General features: G+C 46.6%; 1 long non-coding RNA gene and 1 pseudogene across 1 annotated transcript, besides 2 other annotated features; both read left to right on the forward strand.

Annotated features, from left to right (window-relative positions):
• Window positions 1–550, forward strand: part of LOC107985803 (uncharacterized) — a 28,878-nt pseudogene extending 28,328 nt beyond the window's left edge.
• Window positions 150–199: a silencer, noted in NCBI's record as "silent region_11941". NCBI's record gives its function as "represses an Ori minimal core promoter by ATAC-STARR-seq in GM12878 lymphoblastoid cells {active_cell/tissue: GM12878}" and the evidence as "EXISTENCE:reporter gene assay evidence [ECO:0000049][PMID:35858748]".
• LOC107985944 (uncharacterized) lies at window positions 481–7,215 on the forward strand. Its single transcript, XR_001739707.2, has 2 exons — window positions 481–2,731; window positions 5,579–7,215. It is a non-coding gene; the product is annotated as an uncharacterized LOC107985944 (long non-coding RNA).
• Window positions 19,169–19,669: an enhancer, noted in NCBI's record as "H3K4me1 hESC enhancer chr2:128663380-128663880 (GRCh37/hg19 assembly coordinates)". NCBI's record gives its function as "activates a minimal SCP1, AML or CMV promoter by ChIP-STARR-seq in primed H9 embryonic stem cells {active_cell/tissue: H9 hESC(primed)}" and the evidence as "EXISTENCE:reporter gene assay evidence [ECO:0000049][PMID:30033119]".

Consider the following 21,001-nt stretch of genomic DNA (forward strand, 5'->3'; position numbering starts at 1 on the left):
GCCTGACCGGCCGCAGCCTTGGATACCAGCCTTAAATCGAGCCGACTACGGCCCAGCCCCGCCCGCGGCGAAGTGCGCGGGGTTCGGTGCCAGCCGCTCGCCCCTGGCCGGGCCAGCCTCTTGATGCACCGGGGACGGGCGCGCCCATCCGACTCTTCGAGGGGCGGCAGGGCCCCATCTGTGTCTTTCGCTCTCGAGCCCCCAGCTAGAGTTGGCTTCAGCGGAATACCTACTGTGCAGGATTATTCAACAAGCCGATTGATCACATTCTTCAGCTCTAGCAGTGCAAAGGCTTCACTGAAAAAGAACATTACAAATTTTTTTTGAAAGAAATTTGGGGGTAAATTTAATTTTAAATACTGATTTTTGATAACATTTGATCTTATGACAGCATTTGTATTTTTAATTACAGATAGGATTACACTAAAAGTCATTTCTGACCTGCTCCCTTACCCTTATGGCTAAAATAAACTGCTAGGCCCTGAAGCAAAGGCGAGCCATGTTCTAGAGCAATGTCTTTCTTGTATTAAAATACGGCCCCATGCTCACATATAGGCTGTTTTGTGTTTTGCTTTTCTGTTGATGCACAAAGGAATCCTTGATATGTTTGTCCTCAAAGACCAAAGACAAGTATCTAGTAAAAAATGCAAATCATATCTAACAGTGAAGCTTTCCAGCAAAAACCTTCTGCTCTAGAATGCATAATTATGCGAGCATAAGATCTACTACTCTAGACTTTTAGCATAATTACCTATAGGCAGCAAAACCCTAGTCAATTGAGTGTCTGGTGCCTCTTGGACCTGGACTTCTCCAAGAGAATGGGCAAGGAGGACGAAAAGGAAGAGACAGCTATGCTTTGTGAAACAGGAGGTGACTTAAAAAAAAAATTCTATAGCAGTCTTCTTAATTCCTGTTACAGACTTGATACGCTTATCTGCTGTTGAGGACACGGTTGCCAGTTTCTAACCTTCTCTGTCTGCCTGAAAAACTAGAAATTAGATGATCATATGGCCTAGAGCCAGAAGTGCAGGAGGCAGAAAGCCAGGGGCCAGTTTTTTTCTTTTTGTTTCTGAATAAGAAGGCCAAATCCTGACTTAAAATAATCAAAATAAATTTTACGGAGTGACGGTCTTTCCAGCTGAAAACCTTAAAACATGGCATCTGGAAGAAGGCCTTAGTCTATTGCTCCCAGGATGGTACTATATAGTCATTAAATAGCCCACAGATAAGGGAGTTATTGCCCCCTCGTTATTGGGCTGCCAGGAATTAAATGATGGAACTAAGTTTCACTTGAAACATTCCCAAATTAAAACAAAAACAAGCCTTGCTTTGAGCTGTTGAAAAGGCATTTTACTGAGAAGATCCAGATGCTATTGCTGTTCTTAAATGATGTTGAAAGGCAAAGGGTCAGGACTTTCAAAAAGTCACTTTGAGGTCACCTCACATAAGCAAGCAACAGTTTGAACTGATGCAAAAACAAACAATGAAATTATGAACAGGAGGAAGAAACTAAAATGAGGGCAGTATATGCCATAAATATGGAAGAGGCTGTCTCTTATTTATCTTCTCATTTCCTGTACATAATACAGAAACCTGGTATGTAATAGGCATACAATTATTTGTGGCTCAACTGAATAAACGAAGATGGAAACCAGCAAGCAGCGGGCAGATAATATACTTGGGAAAGGAGAACTGCAGAGACGCTGGGTGGTTCAAGGCTTCTGCATGATCCTCAAATGTCACCCCAATCTGCTGTGACATAGCTATACCACTCATCAGAATACCCCAAAACAAATTGTCTGCCTCCCTTATGTACAACTTTTATTATTTCTTATCTCGGTTGGTTAAGAATATGTAGTAATGGCCGGGCGCGGTGGCTCACGCCTGTAATCCCAGCACTTTGGGAGGCCGAGGCAGGAGGATCACCTGAGGTCAGGAGTTCGAGACCAGCCTCAACATGGAGAAACCCCGTCTCTACTAAAAATACAAAATTAGCCGGGCGTGGTGGTGCATACCTGTAATTCCAGCTACTCGGGAGGCTGAGGCAGGAGAATTGCTTGAACCTGGGAGGCAGAGTTTGCGGTGAGCTGAGATCGCGCCATTGCACTCCATCCAGCCTGGGCAACAAGAGCGAAACTCCATCTCAAAAAAAAAAAAAAAAAAAAAAGAATATGTAGTAATGGTTAAGAGTCCACTGTGGAATCAGCCTGCATAGGTCCAAATCCCAGCCCTGACTGAATACCTGTGAACAAGTTATATCAGTGACTCAGGCTTATTATCTGTAAAATGGGGATTATAGCATTCCTGCCTCATAGGGATGTTATGAGATTTAAATACCAATAAGTCTGTACATTATAAACCTTATCAGATTGGTGTGGTGAAAATGCTCAGTAACTGAGCCTCGTGAGCATTAGAATGTTGAGATCAGCATGAAGTTAGCCTGTATACTGGGCATACACATTCTTCTGGATTTGCTCCTTTTGTGAGCAATCAATGATGAGCTAAAGGCATTTGCTAACTAGTAGGAATGAAATAAGGTTTCAGACAGGATCTTGGTGGGTGATGTAGATTTTATCTGTCCCATTTGTCCCATTTCTCAACTGGAAGTGAGTCTGGCCTTGGTCTGCATCTGTGCTCTCCCCTTCACAAAAGGCAGGCCCAGAGAGACTCCAGAGATGGCCCCTGTCTCCTGTGTGTCCTCCGCCGCTGTGTCCACTTGGGCACGTCAAAGGTATGATCGGTACTTATCTGATGAAAACAAATCTTTGTATATACAGTTGTCTACCTGGGTTGAATATTTCAGAGGTATAAAGTAGTTTAAATAAATAAGCCCTCTAGTGTTTTGTTTGTTAAGCCACATTACTCAGAAGGTTTTCTTTCTTTTTTTTTTTTTTCTGAGACAGGGTTTTGCTTTGTTGCCCAGGCTGGAGTGTGGCTGCAGTGCAGTGGCAGCACGACCATAGCTCACTGCACCCTTTACCTCCTTGGCTCAAGCAGTCCTCCTGTCTCAGCCTCCCAAATAGCTGAGATCACAGGTACGCACGACCACACCCAGCTAATTTTTGTAGAAAATGGAGTCTCCTTATGTTGCCCAGACTGGTCTCCAAACTCCTGGGCTCAAGCAGTCCTCCCACCTTGGCTTCCCAAAGTGTTGGGATTGCAGGCATTAGCCACTGCGCCCAGCCTGAGAAGATGTGTTTTAAACTTTGTATGTCACTTGGGTGTAGAATTTAACATTTAAAAAGTTCTAAACTTTTGGTACTAGCAGCCGGGCGCAGTGGCTCATGCCTGTAATCCCAGCACTTTGGGAGGCCGAAGCGGGCGGATCACAAGGTCAGGAGATTGAGACCATCCTGGCTAACACAGTGAAACCCCGTCTCTACCAAAAATACAAAAAATTAGCCAGGCATGGTGGCGGTTGCCTGTAGTCCCAGCTACTCGGGAGGCCGAGGCAGGAGAATGGCGTGAACCCAGGAGGTGGAGCTTGCAGTGAGCCAAGATCACGCCACTGCACCCCAGCCTGGGCAACAGAGCCAGACTCTGTCTCAAAAAAAAAAAAAAAAAAAAAAACTAGTACTACCAATGAAATAAATGCAACAGAGTTGGAGAGCTCAAGTCACGTATTCATTTATTCTACAAATACTCTCTAAATGGCTACTCTGTAACCAAGCATTTTATATTGCTTTTTTATTGAGAGAGGACATACATGTTTAGAATTCACACAGCTCAAGTATACAGCTTGACCAATTCTTACATTAGTGTCCATCCATGTAACCATCATCCAATTTAAGATGTGGAATATTTCTAGCAGCTCAGAAGGTTCTCTTGTGCCTTCTCCCCGTTCCTAATCCCCTCCAAAAGATACCCATTATTTTGACTTCTATCACTGTGGGATAGTTTTGCCTGCTCTTGAATTCACGGACATTCAAATCGACTCATCCAGTACATACTCCTTTGGGTCTGGTCTGTTTCGTTCAACATTATGTCCAGGAAATTCATCCCTTTGCTTATGTGCAACTATAGTTCATTCTTTTTCTTTGATGCACAGAATACTATGCCATTCAATACACATTGAACAATATGCCACAATTTGTTTGTCCGGCATTATTTTTAAAGCAATCTTGTTCTCTTCCCTGAATCTAGAGATTTAAGCTTTTTACAAGATCTCCTGTTGTTTTACAACCTCAGTGAGGGGATTGAGATGGAAGGTAGGAAAAATATGGTTCCTTCATGCACACTAAATGTAGCTCACTCTCAGATTTTCATGATTAAAGATGTTGGGCCAAGGCTGGGCGCGGTGGCTCACGCCTGTAATCCTAGCACTTTGGGAGGTCGAGACGGGTATATCACCTGAGGTCAGGAGTCAAGACCAGCCTGGCCAACATGGCAAAATGCCATCTCTACTAAAAATACAAAAATTAGCCAGGCATGGTGGCCCATGCCTGTAATCCCAGCTGCTTGGGAGGCTGAGGCAAGAGAATCGCTTGAACCCAGGGGGCCAAGGTTGCGGTGAGCCAAGATTGCGCCCCTTCACTCCAGCCTGGGCGAGAGAGCGAAATTCCGTCTCAAAAAAAAAAAAAAAAAGATGTTGAGCCTAGCATGGTGGCTCATGCCTGTAATCCCAGCACTTTGGGAGGTTGAGGCGGGAGGATTGCTTGAGGCCAGGAGCTTGAGACTAGCCTGGACAACATAGTGAGACACTGTCTCTATAAAAATAAGTAAATAAATAAAGATACTTGTATCTACCAGGGTCCAGTCTACAAGGAGTTATTTCAGAGATAGCAATGCACTTTGTCTAGCCTCAGGGCTATGCTACATACCCTTCTGTCCACCATAATCTTACCTGCAGAGACTTTAAGCCTCCTGACATCCCACAGAATATCACATTGATTCATTACATTGGTGCCATGTTGTTGAATGGACCCAATGAGCAGGAAGTGGTAAGTACCTTAGATTCATCTGAAAATCGTATGTGTTCCAGAAGGTTTTAAATAAACTCTAATTCTGATTCCAAGTACTGTATCAGTTAGGGTTCAGGAAAGAAAAACCACACCAGGCATTGCAAACAAAAGGAGATTTTTGGTCACATGGTTAGAAGGCTAAAAGAATGAAGCAGATGTTGAGGTAACCCAAAAATGAGCAACTGTAGGAAGGAGCTAGCACCCTTAGGGCTGAGAGAACAAAAAGGAAGAATTAGCATTACTAGCACCCGGGAGCTTGGGAGGACAGGTCACCATGGGGCTGCTGCTGAGAACTCTTAAGGGGTGCCCTTGGGCCGGTGTCAAAGAGCCTGAGAAGTGGGGAGCTGGAACTTCCTGCACTTGCTGGAGGGGTGCCATCGTTGCTGAAATCAGGAGGAGATGTCTTTTTTTTTTCTCCTTCTACCGTCTGGTCTTTCCCCAGCACCTCCCACTGGCGGAATCTAAAAGGAACTCAAGTGGTGAGAGTATCTGGGAAATGTAGTTGTAGACTCCTGCAACACATGTTGCAAGGACTCTCAATATAGTGAGTTTTAAGTTCAGAGAAGGAAACAAATGAGAACAAAAGACTGTTTTATTCTCCCTCACTTTTTTGGTAGGAGGCCTTGATGTGCAGACGCGATGGGGCAACGATGAGACCGAATAAACAATTGACATCTAACCCCAGAAGAAGAGCAAGGACCTGGGACCCAGAAGGAAGAGGCTGTGAGAGGTACAAACTGCAGGCATGGACATGATGCATATAGAGGACAGCCACACTAAGCTTTGAGGCTTCTGGAGGCAACACAGAGTAACCATTTGAATGGAAATCACTGAACAGACACAGAGAAAGAGAAACCATCCAATGACTTGAGGGTGACACCAAGTTTGCCTGGTGGCCTCAGGACTCCTGGCTCACTGGTCCCACTGTCTCCCCCCGCCCATCAGAATACATGAAGGCTGGTGGGGCACGGTGGCCCATGTCTGTAATCCCAACACTTTGGGAGGCCAAGGCGGGCAGATCACCTGAGTTCGAGACCAGCCTGGCCAACATGGTGAAACCTCGGCTCTACTAAAAATACAAAATTAGCTGAGTGTGGTGGCACATGCCTGTAATCCCAGCTACTCGGGAGGCTGAGGCAGGAGAATCACTTGAACCCAGGAGGCTGAGGTTGCAGTGAGCTGGGATCATGCCACTGCACTCCAGCCTGGCGACAGAGTGAGACTCCATCTCCAAAAAAAAAAAAAAAAAAAATACGTGAAGGCTTTCCTACCACACCATGCATGTGGGACACGTCAGAGTGGGAAGCTCCATGGATCTACAGCAAGGCTGTTCGACTAAGAGTGAATAAATGGGTGAATTCCATGGGCTGAACATGTCAGGAATATTTTCTTCTTAGGGCAGCGATCTTAACTTCTGGAGAAATTGAGTTCCTAAGCTGTAGAGCCTTAGAACCCTGGCATACATTTCTGTGGAGAAACAGAAAGCCCAGACATCCCAGTCCACACACGTCTTTCTTCTGACCAACACCAGCCATAGGAAGCAAGGCCCGGGAGAGCACTGGGGACAGGGCATGTCCGCCCGGAGCAGGGCAGGAGAGCACAGGCATGTGATGCAGCCCTGGGTCTGTCGTCCCGTTTGCGCCGGGAATGAATCGGGTTTTTCTAGCCTCTAAGCACAGAGGTATTTTTGACTCAGCACCGTGAAGAGACGACAATAGCTCAGCTTCTGCCAGCTGCCCGATTTAGACACGAGACCTTCACTACATATTTCTGTCTCTTGCCCTACTCAGAAGAAGGACTTAAAAATCCCCCAAGACGGAACTGAGTTTTCCTCTGTTCATTTTTTTAAATTACACTACTTGAAGAACCCCAAACAAATAAGGCTCTGGGCCTCCAAGACCATGTAATCCATTGTGCTCGTGTGGAAGAGCTGCCCCCAGTAGAGGCAACAGGAATGGCCTGGTCACTCAGCAGGTCCCCTGCCCATCTTCCCACCACCCCTTGCCCCACCCACCGGGAAGGAGGAGGGAGCACAGGCTGCTTTGAGCAGTCATCGTGCCTCTACCTGGAGCCTGTACTCACTGTCTTGGGGGCCGGTATTTCCCAGGAGGGCTATTGTGTGTTTCCTTGTCTGTTTCTCTTTCTGGAATGCGAGCTGTTTCAAAATGAACTGAAGATCATTCACCTCCACCCCTCAGCTCTCAGCATAGAGGTGTGCACAGAGTACATGCTCAGTAAATGTTTAACAGATATATTTTTAACTTATTTTATTTTACTTTTTTTTTCTTTTTCTTTTTTTTTTTTTTTTTGAGACAAGAGTCTTGCTCCATCACCCAGGCTGGAGTGCAGTGGCCTGATCTTGGCTCACTGCAACCTTCACCTCCCGGGTTCAAGTGATTTTCCTGCCTCAGCCTCCCAAGCAGCTGAGATTACAGGCATGCACTACCGCGCTTGGCTAATTTTTGTATTTTTAGTAGAGATGGGGTTTCACCACGTTGGCCAGGCTGGCCTCGAACTCCAGACCTCAAGTAATCTTCCCATCTCGGCCTCCCAAAGTGCTGGGATTACAGGCATGAGCCACTGCACCTGGTCTATTTATTTATTTATTTTTGAGACGGAGTTTTGCTCTTGTTGCCCAGGCTGGAGTACTGCCCAGGTGATCTGTCTGCCTTGGCCTCCCAAAATGCTGGGATTACAGGCGTGAGCCACCGTACCCGGCCTGTATCTTGTAGTCTTGCTGAACTCACTTATTAGTTCTAGGAGGTTTTTTTGTAGACTCCTTGGGATATTCATGTGAACGGTCATATCATCTGCAAACAGGGACAATTTTTTTATTGCTTTCCAATCTGTATTCCTTTTCTTTTCTTTCTTCTCTTTTTCTTTTTGTGTCATATTGCACTAACTATTTCCAGCTCCATGTTGAATACATACTTTACTTTTAAAATAGAATTTTAAAAATCTTTTCTTTCTTTTACAAGTTGCAAAACACTTTTTCTCCTAAACCATCTTCAGCATTTTAAAAATGCATCTGTTAGGCTGGGGATGGTGGCTCATGCCTGTAATCCCAGCACTTCGGGAAGCCAAGGCAGGCAGATCACCTGAGGTCAGGAGTTTGAGACCAGCCTGGCCAACATGGTGAAACCCCTCTCTACTAAAAATACACAAAATTAGCCGGGTATGGCGGTGGGCACCTGTAATCCCAGCTACTCAGAAGGCTGAGGCAGGAGAATCACTTGAACCTGGGAGGCGGAGGTTGCAGTGAGCCGAGATCGCGCCATTGCACTTCAGCCTGGGCAACAAGAGCGAAACTCCATCTCAAAAAAAAAAGAAAAGCTATTCTAAAATTCCTGTGGAAAGACATGGAAACTATAATAGCTAAAAAAATTTTTGGAAAAAAAAAAGACAGTGGGAGGACTAACTCTACCTGATATTAAGGCTCACTCTGTAACTATAGCAGGCAAGACCATGTGGTACTGGCTGAGGGACAGACACAGAGATCACAGAATAGAGGGCTCAGAGAGAGCCCATGTTAGTGCAGCCAATTGGTTTTTTTTGGGGGGGAGTGTGGTGGGAGGGTAGGTAGTTTGTTTGTTTTGAGATGGACTCTCCTTCTGTCACCCAGGCTAGAGTGCAGTGGCGTGATCTCGGCTCGCTGCAACCTATACCTCCCGGGCTCAAGTGATTGTCCTGCCTCAACCACCCAAGTAGCTGGGACTATAGTCGTACGCTACCACACCCAGCTATTTTTTCTATTTTTTGAGACAAGGTTTTCCCATGTTGGCTAGGTTGGTCTCGAACTCCTGACCTCAGGTGATCCGCCTGCCTTGGCCTCCCAAAGTGCTGGGATTACAGGCATGAGCTACTGCGCCCAGCCACCAATTGTTTTTTGATAAAGGTGCAAAAACTGTTCAATGTTGAAAAGAGATTCTTTTTTTTTTTTTGAGATGGAGTCTCACTCTGTTGCCCAGGCTAGAGTGCAGTGGCACGATCTCAGCTCACTGCAACCTCCGCCTCCCGGGTTCAAGCGATTCTCCTGCCTCAGCCTTCCACGTAGCTGGGACTACAGGCGCCCGCCACCATGCCCGCCTAATTTTTTGTATTTTTAGTAGAGACAGGGTTTCACCATGTTAGCCACGATGGTCTCAATCTCCTGACCTTGTGATCTGCCCACCTTAGCCTCCCAAAGTGCTGGGATTACAGGCGTGAGCCACCGTGCCCAGCCTAAAAGAGATTTCTTTTCTTTTCTTTTTTTTGAGACGGAGTTTCGTTCTTGTTGCCCAGGCTGGAGGGCAGTGGCGCCATCTCAGCTCACTGCAAACTCCGCCTCCCAGGTTCAAGTGATTCTCCTGCCCCAGCCTCCCGAGTAGCTGGGATTACAGGCACTGCCACCACGCCTGGCTAATTTTTGTATTTTTAGTACAGATGGGGTTTCACCATGTTGGCCACGCTGGTCTCAAACTCCCAACCTCAGGTGATCCGCCCACCTCAGCCTCCCAAAGTGCTGGGATTACAAGCGTGAGCCACTGCGCCCCACCAAAAAGAGAGTCTTTTCAACAAATAATGCTGCAGTAGTTAGAAATCCACAGGGAAAAAAAAACTGTGGCCTAAACCTCACACTTTCTATAATAATTCAAAATGGGCTGGGTGTGGTGGCTCACGCCTGTAATCCCAGCACTTTGGGAGGCTGAGGTGGGCAGACCACGAGGTCAAGAGATTAAGACCAGCCTGGCCAACATGGTGAAACCCCTTTTCTACTAAAAATCCGAAAATTAGCCGGGTGTGGTGGTGCGTGCCTTTAGTCCCAGCTACTCGGGAGGCTGAGGCAGGAGAATTGCTTGAACCCAGGAGGCAGAGGTTGCAGTGAGCCGAGATAGCCTGGTGACACAGCGAGAATCCATCTCAAAAAAAAAAAAAAAAAATTCAAAATGGATTGTAGCTTTAAATGTAAAAAATAAAACTATGAAACTATGAGTGGGACCTCATCAAAACTTTTGCTCTGTGAAAGTCCCTCAAAGAGGACAAAAATACAGGCTACAGAGAAAATACTGATAAAGGACACATATCTACAATATATAAAGAACTCTGAAGACAGTAAAAAAAACAAGTGATCCAATTAGAGAATGGACAAAAGGCTTGCAGAGACATTTCACTGAAGAGGACATATGGAAGGAAATTAAGCATGTGAAAAGTTGCATCACTAGTAATTAGCAAAATGCGAATTAAGATCACACTAAGATGTTACTACACATCTTTCAGAACAGCTGAAATAAACCTTGGTAATACTGAATGTTGGCAAGGATGTGCAGAAACGATCCTTCATAGACAGCTGATGGGAATGGAAGACGGTACGACCTTTTTGGAAAATTGTTTGGCTTTTTCTTTCTTTCTTTGTTTTTTTTTTTTTTGAAGCAGAGTCTCACTGTGTTGCCCAGGAGTGCAGTGGTGCAATGTGGGCTCACTGCAACCTCAGTCTCCTGGGTTCAAGCAATTCTTCTACCTCAACCTCACGAGTAACTGGGATTACAGGCGTGTGCCACCTTGCCCGACTAATTTTTGTATTTTTAGTAGAGACGAGGTTTCGCCATGTTGGCCAGGCTGGTCTGGAACTCCTGACCTCAGGTAATCCGCATGCCTCAGCTTCCTAAAGTGCTGGGATTACAGGCGTGAACCACTGCACCCAGTCTTTTTTTTCTTTTTTTTTTTTTTGAGACAGGGTCCCAATCTGTCCCCTAGGCTGGAGTACAGTGACTTGATCACAGCTCACTGCAGCCTTGAACTCCTGAGCTTAAGCAATCCTCCTGCCTCAGCCTCCCGAGTACGTGGGACTACAGGTGTGTACCACTACACCTGGCTTTTTTTTTTAACTTTTAGTAGAGATGAGGCCTCTCTATGTTTCCCAGGCTGGTCTCAAACTACTGGCCTCCCAAAATGCTGGGATTACAGACATGAGCCACCTTGCCCAGCCAACATTTTCTTAAAACCTAAACATATACTACAATATGACCTGGTAGTTGCACCTCTGGACACTTATCCCAAAGCAATGAAAACTTAGGTCTGCACAGAAACCCTTACATAATTGTTCATAGCAGCTTTATTTGCAATAGTGGAAAACTGGAAAGAGCCCAGATGTCCTTCAACAGGTGAGTTGTTAAACAAGCCAGTACATCCACACCATGGAATACTACTCAGCAACAAGAAGGAATAAACTCTTGATAAACCCAACAACTTGGATGGATCTCAAGGGCATTATGCTGAGTGAAAAAGCCCATTTTGACCTAAAGGGTGTAATTGCCTTTATATAACATTCTTGAAAGGACAAAATTTTTGGAGACCAGATTAGTGGTTGCCAGGAATTAGGGATGGTAGGGAGAAGAGGGTGTAGGTGTGACTATAAAGGCATTGCTCAAGGGAGATCTTTGACCACAGTTGTGGTCACCCTGATCTACCTACGTGATGAAATGACATTGAACTATACACACTATCTCTGCCAGTGTCAATTTCCTGCTTTTGATATAGTTATGGAAAATACAACCAATGGGAGAAAGTGGATTGGTCCATGGGACCAACTGAAAATGCTGTTTCTTTGCAACTTTCAGTGAATCCATAATTATTTCAAAATAAAAAGTGAAAAAACAAAAACAAAACAAAACAAAAAACCTTAGCGAAAAACAAAAGAAATGTAGCTTGCATCGGTATCAGGTAGGAGCAGCTATATAAATTGTGGGGCCACCCAGCCTCGTCTTTGTACCAGGGAGAGCAGAGCAACTCTTATCATTGACGGCAGGAAGTCAACACCAAGATGAGTTTAAATAAACAGACCTTATTAAAATAGCCCTTAACTTCCCCAATCTATTTCCTGGTCACTTTCCCACAGTTTATCATCTTTGAAGCCCAAATCCTCTCTCCTCTGTTAAAAGGGTATAAAGCCTCCAGTATAACCACGTCTTTGAGTTTCACTTCTGTTAATTCCCCTACACGTAATAATAAAAACTATGTGCTGCCGGGCGGAGTGGCTCACGCCTGTAATCCCAGCACTTTGGGAGGCCGAGGCAGGCGGATCACCTAAGGTCAGGAGTTCGAGACCAGCCTGGCCAAGATGGTGAAACCCCATCTCTACTAAAATACAAAAAATTAGCTGGGTGTGGTGGCGCACGCCTGTAGTCCCAGCTACTTGGGAGGCTGAGGCAGGGGAATCGCATGAACCCGGGAGGTGGAGTTTGCAGTGACCTGAGATCGCACCACTGCACTCCAGCCTGGCAACAGAGTAAGACTCCGTCTCAAAAAAACAAGCAAACAAGAAAACAAAAACCCAAAACCAAAACTATGTGCCTTTTCTCCTGTTAATCTGCCTTTTGTTATTTTAATCCACAGGCCCACAGACACTGAACCTAAGACGAAAGGAAAAGTTTTTCCTCCTTGACACCCCTAAAACTACTGTATTATAACAAGCTATATCACTGGATTTTATACTTCAGTCCCATAGACTTCAACTACTTTAGCAGACAGTTACTCCTCAAATTCTTGTTACAAAGGGACACTTTTCTTGAGCTATTTCAGGAACCTTAGCAGGAGGAGGGAACTGTCCCGAGATATCCTAATTAAATACCTTATCACATAATTGTAAAAGAAGCGATTCTAAAAAAATAAATACCCTGGCTAGTGCTGCGTGCGGCACAGCCCAGTAATTCCAGCACTTTCGGAGGCCTAGGCAGGAGGATAGCTTGAGCCCAGGAGTTTGAGACCAGCATAGGCCATATAGGGAGACCTTATCTCTACAGAAAATTTAGGTGTGGTGGTGTGCACCTGTAGTCTCAGCTACCAGGGGATGCTGAGGTGGGAGATTTGCTTGAGTCTGGGACTTCCAGGCTGCAGTGAACCATGATTGCACCACTGCACTCCAGCTTGGGAGGCAAAGCGAGACCCTGCTTCAAAATAAATAGATAAATAAATACCCCCCTTGAATTCTTTTATTACAGGAAAAGAGGCAAGATTGAAGATGTGTTTGAGCATCTGCTTGTTCATTCATGCATTGATTCAAAAGGCTTTTTGAGATGGAGTCTTGCTCTGTTGCCCAGGCTGGAGCACAGTGGCATGATCTTGGCTCACTGCAACCTCTGCCTCCTGGGTTCAAGTGATTCTCCTGCCTCAGCCTCCAGAGTAACTGGGACTATAGGCGTCTGCCACCACGCCTGGCTAATTTTTGTATTTTTAGTAGAGATGAGATTTCACCATGTTGGCCAGGCTGGTGTCAAACTCTTGACCTCAGATGATCTGCCTGCCTCGGCCTCCCAAAGTGCTGGGATTATAGGCGTGAGCCACCACACCTGGTCATCAATCAAAAGGCTTTTTTAAAGAAGGTTATAAAAATTGATACATTATGTTTTCTTTTATTAATACCGATTTTAGTTTTGTGAAAGTTGTCAGGATAAAAATGAAGTCACCTGTGTTTTGGAAAACCCTGACACATAGAATCAGAGAAGGCTATGAAGAGAGGGTTCAAGCTTGTCTGCCTGATAACAAAAACTATCACGAAAGACTCTGCAAGCCTGGGCGTGGTGGCTCACGCCTGTAATCCCAGCACTTTGGGAAGCCAAGGTGGGAGGACCACTTGAAGCCTAGAGTATGAGACCAGCCTGGCCAACATGGTGAGACCTCATCTGTATTTTTTTTTTTTTTTTAAGAAAAAAGACTGCAAAAACCACAGCATTGCACAAAGACTGTTGCGATCTTGCACAAAAGATACTTCTGCAGGGACATCTAGGCAGCAACTGCCTGTGTAACCTTGGGCTGGTGCCACCCTACTATTAATCCTTGCGGCCAAGGATCATGAGCTCAAAACAATGTGTAATCATTATTCTTTCCTTTTTTTTTTTTTTTTTGAGATGGAGCTTTGCTCTGTTGCCCAGGCTGGAGTGCAGTGGCATGATCTTGGCTCACTGCAACCTCCGCCTCCCGGGTTCGAGCAATTCTCCTGCCTCAGCCTCCTGAATAGCTGGGATTACAGGCACATGCCACCATGCCTGGCTAATTTTTTTGTATTTTTAGTAGAGACGGGATTTCAACTTGTTGGCCAGGCTGGTCTTGAACTCCCAACCTCAGGTGATCTGCTCGCCTTGGCCTCCCAAAGTGCTGGGATTACAGACTTGAGCCACCGCGCATGGCAAAAACATATTATGTATATATATATATATATATATATATATATATACACACACACATAATTTTATATAGACACAGGGTCTCACTATGTCACCCAGGCTGGTCTTGAGCTCCTGGGCTCAAGCGATCCACCTGCCTTGGCCTTCCAAAGTGCTGGAATTACAGGTGTGAGCCACCGCGCCCGGCCTGTCCAGGGGATTCTAAAGCCACCAAGGTTTGAGAAGCATGAGCTGCTGTTATGGACTGAATTGTGTCTCCCAGCACCACACAATCTGTCGGTTAAAGCCCTAGACCCTAGTGCAACTGTATCTGGAGGTAGGATCTTCAGGAGGTAATTAAGGTTAAATGAGGCCATCAGGGTGGAGCTCTAATCTGACAGGATTGTAGCCTTATAAGAAGAGGAAGGAGTGGCCGGGTGCAGTGGCTCATGCCTGTAATACCAGCACTTTGGGAGGTCAAGGTGGGTGGATCACGAGGTCAGGAGTTCAAGACCAGCCTGGCCAATATGGCAAAACCCTGTCTCTACTAAAAATACAAAATTAGCCAGGCATGGTGGCTTGCATCTGTAATCCCAGCTACTTGGGAGGCTGAGGCAGGAGAATCGCTTGAACCGGGGAGGCGGAGGTTACAGTGAGCCGAGGTTGAACCACTGCACTCCAGCCTAGCCTAGGCAACAAAGTGAGATTCCACCTAAAAAAAAAAAAAAAAAAAGAAGAGGAAGGGAGATATCCCCACCCCAGTCCTGCCCTGTGACGACACAGGGAGAAGGCTGCTGCCAGCAAGCCAGGAAGAGGGTCCTCAGCAGAGCCAAGTTGGCCAGTGCCCTGATCTTGGATTGCTGGCCCCCAGAACTGCAAGAAACGAATGCCTGTTGCTTGACCATTCAGTCTGCAGGATTTTGTTAAAGCAGCCCAGGATGGCCAAGACAGCTTTGGAAATGAAAATGGCCACTGTTCGCTACGGAGAAGAGACCCTCATTCTAGACTTGTGACTCTCCAATTCTGCACTCCCATTTAATTTCCCCAGTGCTCTATTTAGAACATATCCTCAGGGCCTGCCGATGCTAGTCACTCTCTGGAAGCCTTGCTTCTAGAACTCCTGGGAAATTTCAGCTCTGGCACAGACAGCTCTGGCCTTCACGTCAGGAGGCCTGGATTTGTGCCCGAGCTTTGCTGCTTTGCCTTCAAATAAGACTCTTTCCAGCTCTGGTCTCAGTCTCCTCATTTGTAGAATAAAGGAATTGGATTAAATTTAGGGTATTTAACCAAACACCGCATGTTCTCACTCATAGGTGGGAATTGAACATGAGAACACTTGGACACAGGGTGGGGAACATCACACACCAGGGCCTGTCGTGGGGTGGGGGTAGGGGGGAGGGATAGCATTAGGAGATATACCTAATGTAAACGATGAGTTAATGGGTGCAGCACACCAACATGGCACATGTATACATATGTAACAAACCTGCACGTTGTGCACATGTACCCTAGAACTTAAAGTATAATAATAAAAAAAATTTAGGGTTTTTAACTCCTGAGCAGCAAAATCCTCTTTTCAAAAAAAATCTTCTGTGGACTCCAAATATGAATACCCAACAGTAGGCCGGGCGCAGTGGCTCACACCTGCAATCCCAGCACTTTGGGAGGCCAAGGCGGGTGGATCACAAGGTTAGGAGTTCAAGACCAGCCTGGCCAACATAGTGAAACCCCGTCTCTACTAAAAATACAAAAATTAGCTAGGTGTGGTGGTGGGTGCCTGTAATCCCAGCTATTTGGGAGGCTGAGGCAGGAGAATCGCTTGAACCCAGGAGTCGGAGGTTGCACTGAGCCGAGATCGCGCCACTGCACTCCAGCCTGGGCGACATACTGAGACTATGTCTCAAAAAAAAAAACAGTCAGGCCTCCTGAGTGGAGGAAGGAGAAGGGTGCGGCTTCTGGCTCTCTGGCACCTGGGGGCTCCTGAGAAATGGTTCCTATGGCTTGTGGCTGGGGCAGACTTGCCTGGTGCCCGATGTCCTGGCATAGTGAGGAATGACACACGTGTCACTCTGAAAGCCCCTGGGGTGGACACTGGCACATCAGCACAGGATGCCACCCGGCGTGCACCCCACTCTGCCTGCCAGCCATTTCTCAAGTTGGCTTGGCTATTACCGGATGAGAAGGGAACCCCAGAATACACCCAAAACAATCTCTCAAGTTCAAGAAAAACTATGTGGCTGAGCTTCCCCTTAACCGAAAAGGAGTCAGCTAACAAAAGAGAGAGGAATAAAGCCCCAAAGAAAAAAACATAATAAAAAACCCTCAAGGATATTACAAGTGTTCCCTCCATCACTTTATTCAGCCATCAAAAATTATGCTGGAAAGACTCATTCCATGATATGGAAAACTGTGTCTTTGATGTAAGTTTCAGTCAAGAAAGAATAAAAAAATTTATGTACAGTTTTATCACAACTATAAAAAAAGGCATATATGGCTGGGCACGGTGGCCCACACCTGTAATCCCAGTACTTTGGGAGGCCGAGGCGGACGGATCACCTGAGGTCAGGAGTTCAAGAGCAGCCTGGCCAACGTGGTGAAACCCCGTCTCTACTAATAATACAAAAATTAGCTGTGTGTGGTGGCCGGCGCCTGTAATCCCAGCTACTTGAGAGGCTGAGGTAGGAGAATCGCTTGAACCTGGGAGGTGGAGGTTGCAGTGAGCCAAGATCACGCCACTGCATTCCAGCCTGGGTGACAGAGCAAGACTTTCTCAAAAAAAAAAAAAGAAAAGAAAAGAAAAGAAAAAAGGCATATATACACTTTATTTTTATTTATTTATTTTTTTAAAGACAGGATCTGGCTGTGTCTCCCAGGCTGAAGTGGCCAATCTTGGCTCACTGCAACCTCTGCCTCCCAGGTTCAAGTGATCCTCCCATCTCAGCCTCTCGAGTAGCTGGGACCACAGGCATGCGCCACCACACCTGGCTATTTTTTAAATTTTTTGTAAAGATGGGGTTTCACTATGTTGCCCAGGCTGGTCTTGAACTCCTGGGCTCAAGCACTCGGGCTGCCTTGGCCTCCCAAAGTGCTGGGATTACAGGTGTGAGCCACCATGCCCGGCCATTTACATATTTTAAAGAGACAGAAGGAAACAGAATAATGGCCACAAACAAGGGCTTTGTGGAGACCCAAGATCAAAGTCCCATCTCTGCAATTTTATTAGTTGTATGACTTGGGGCAAGTCAGTTCCCCACAATAAGTCTCAGTATTCGCACCTGAAAAATGGGTACAGATGGTAATGGAGACAGAACATCACAACAGTGTTGGCTGCACACATAACAAGTAATAGCAGCTCTATTGCTATGAGTGATGATAAGATATTACTAGTGTTTATCCCTGCATAAGGTTTTAAGAGACTTATTTGTCCTCTCAATTCCTATAATGGGCATACATTTATAATAGTTTAAAAAGAAAGAAGTTAAAAGAAGTGCTCTGCCAGGCATGACGGCTCACATCCGCAATCCCAGCACTTTGGGAGGCCAAGGCAGGAGGATCACTTGAGACCAGAAGTTCAAGACCAGCCTGGGAAAAATAATAAGACCTCATCTCTCCAAAAAAATTTAAAAATTAGCCAGGCGTGGTGGTGTGCGCCTATAGTCCCAGCTACTCGGGAGGATTGCTTGAGCCCAGGAGTCCGAGGCTACAGTGAGCTATGATTGTGCCACTGCACTCCAGACTGGGTAAGAGAGTGAGACCCTGTCTCTAAAAACAAAAGGAAGTGCTCTAGGAAGAAATGCTGTGCCTGTATGAGAACCTGTCTTCCTGCCAGAATGAGAAGAGCCCAGAGCCTGCAGCACTCTGGAAGGAGAAGCAGGGTGCTCTGGGCTCCGGACTCTGGAGTTAAGTTGGAGGCAGGGGATGTGACAGTGCATGCACAAGCCAAGGGCAGGTGATGGCAACAATCCCCACTTGCTCCTTTCACTTAGAAATAAATTGTGGGGGCCGGGCTCGGTGGCCCGCGCCTGTAATCCCAGCACTTTGGGAGGCTGAGGCAGGCGGATCACCTGAGGTCAGGAGTTCAAGACCAGCCTGGACAACATGGTGAAACCCCATCTCTAAAAAAAATACAAAAATTAGCCGGGCTGGTAGTGTGTGCCTGTAATCCCAGCTACTCGGGAGGCTGAGGCAGGAGAATCGCTTGAACCCGGGAGGCGGAGGTTGCAGTGAGCCAAGATTGCACTGCTGCACTCTAGCCTGGGTGACAGAGTGAGACTCTGTCTCAAAAAAAAGAAAAAAAGAAGCAAATTGTGGAGTAGTCCAACTAATTGGAGGGAGTAGCTGTCTACGGACAGTGAAAAAAAGTAAAACCAAAAAAGCCCAGTGAAAGCGGAGGTAAAACAGGGGAACGTGAGAGATGTGATCCAACTCATGGCCCCGTGGGAGGGCAGCGCTCCCGAACCCAAGCTGAGCTGGTGTTCATAGGCACCCAGTGCTGGGCTCACAGCATCTGGCAAATATTAGGCAAGCTGACAGGAAAACACTGATGTTGGATCTGACAGGTGTATTCATTTGCTACTGTGGTTTAACCAGCAGAAATTTATTTTTTTCACTGTGCTGAAACTGGAAGTAAAAGAGAAAGGTCTCGGCAGGTCGGTTTTTCCCGAGGCCTCTGCCCTCGGTTTGCAGCTGGCACCTTCTTGCTGTTCCTCACACAGTCACCCTTGGATCTGTGTGGTGTCTGTGTCCTAATCGCCCCTGCTTACAAGGCCACCAGCTACACTGGACTACCCGCTCACATGATCTCATTTTACCTTACTTATCTCTTTAAAGCCCCGTCTCCAAATACAATCACACAGTGGGGTACTAGGGCTGGGAATGCCACATGTGAATTTGGGTGGGGAGGCAGGTCCGTCAAGAACAACAAGCATAACCAGACCCACTGAGTGAGGCTCAGGCACTTCCGCTAGAAAAAATGACACCAGGGTGGTCCCATGATAGGACAAACCCTATGAGACATAACATTGTATAAAACACAATTTGCCGGCCAGGCGCGGTGACTCAAACCTGTAATCCCAGCACTTTGGGAGGCTGAGGCGGGTGGATCACATGGTCAGGAAATCAAGACCATCCTGGCCAACGTGGTGAAACCCCGTCTCTACTAAAAATACAAAAAAATTGGTTGGGTGTGGTGGCGGGTGCCTGTAATCCCAGCTACTCGGGATGCTGAGGCAGGAGAATTGCTCAAACCAGGGAGTCGGAGGATGCAGTGAGCTGAGATCACACCACTGCACCCCAGCCTGGCAACAGAGCGAAACTCCGTCTCAAAAACAAAAAACAATTTGCTATCCCTTGTTTGTGGGAGGGAGTCTCTAAATCTTCAGAATTTTCTCAGTAATAGGATGTCTTTGTTATTCGTGGGCCCCTTTGAAACGACCTGAGTGTATGCTGAAGGCAGATGATTCAGGATGGGGCTGGTCCTAGAAAGACCAACGGTGTGATTGGAGGGCTGGGGTTTGAGCCAGCCGGAACTCCGCAGAGGCGAGGGGCTGTAGAGCATGTGCAATCAGGTGGCCATCGTTCAATCACGCCTACACGGTGCAACCCCAAGCTCGGTGGAGCTTCCAGGTTGGTTAGCACATCAGTGTGCCAGGAGGGCGCTGCATCCCAATTCCACAGGGAGAGGGCTGGGAAGCTCCGCATCCAGGAGTCCCCGCCTCTCCCTCCGTGGCTCCCCACGTGGCTGTTCTTGTTGTATCGTTTGTAATTAAACTGTCATTGTATGTGTAGTGCTTTCCTGAGTTCTGTGAGTCATTTTAGTGAACTATCAAGCCTGATGGGGATCCTGGGCATCTCCCAGATTTGTACCCAGTCCGTCAGAAGTGCAGATGTCCTGGGGACCCCGCTTGTGGGTGGTGTCTGCAGTACGGAAGTCTTATTAGGGCCCACGTCCTTAACGCTGTGGAGTCTGATGCTCATCACGTGGGTGGTTAGTGTCAGAAGAGAGTTGCAGTACGCCAAGCCCTGAGTTGTCTCTAAGCTGCCAGAATAGGTGGTGATGTTGGAAGGCTGTCAACTCCACAAAAGTCCAGCAGGGCACAAATTTACCTGATGGCATCCAGAGGCTTGAAATCATTGTTGAAGTCTACATATAACATGTAGAGTTAATTTAACAGAAACTCCTACTCTGCTTTCCACCTAATCTGAGTATCTGAGAGGTAAAGAGAGTTTTTTGTTTGGTTGTGTTGTGTTTTGTTTGAGACAGGGTCTCCCTCTGTCACCCAGGCTGGAGTACAGTGGTGTGATCTCAGCTCACTGCAACCTCCGCCACCCAGGTTCAAGCGATTCTCGTGCCTCAGCCTCCCGAGTAGCTGGGACTAGAGGCGCACACCGCCATGCTCAGCGAATTTTTTTTTTTTTTTTTTTTTTTTTTTTTTTTTGGTAATTTTAGTGGAGACGGGGTTTCACCATGTTGGCCAGGCTGGTCTCAAACTCCTGATCTCAAGTGATCCACCCACCCCAGCCTCTCAAAGTGCTGAGATTGCTTACAGGCATGAGCCACCATGCCCGGCCAAGAGATTTAGCTCCATGCACTTTCTGAATTTATCTAGGAGGTAATGGCAGATGCTGTGGTATGATGTGAAGAGCTGGATTCAAATCGTTACTCTGGGTCCTTGGCCAAACTGCTCAATCTTTTTGGGTGTCAGTTTTCTTCAGTCTTAACATCAGGATAAATGCCTGTCTCTCATAACCCAAATGCCCATCGACAGTGGAATGGATAGATCGTTTGTGGCATATTCACACGTGGGACAAAAGCAATGAGAATGGGCTGGGTGTGGTGGCTCACATCTGTAATCACAGCACTTCGGGAAGCCGAGGCAGGAGGATCACTTGAGCCTAGGAGTT

The sequence above is a fragment of the Homo sapiens genome, chromosome 2 (genome assembly GCF_000001405.40).
Source record: "Homo sapiens chromosome 2, GRCh38.p14 Primary Assembly".
In the NCBI taxonomy this organism is placed as follows: Eukaryota; Metazoa; Chordata; class Mammalia; order Primates; family Hominidae; genus Homo; species Homo sapiens.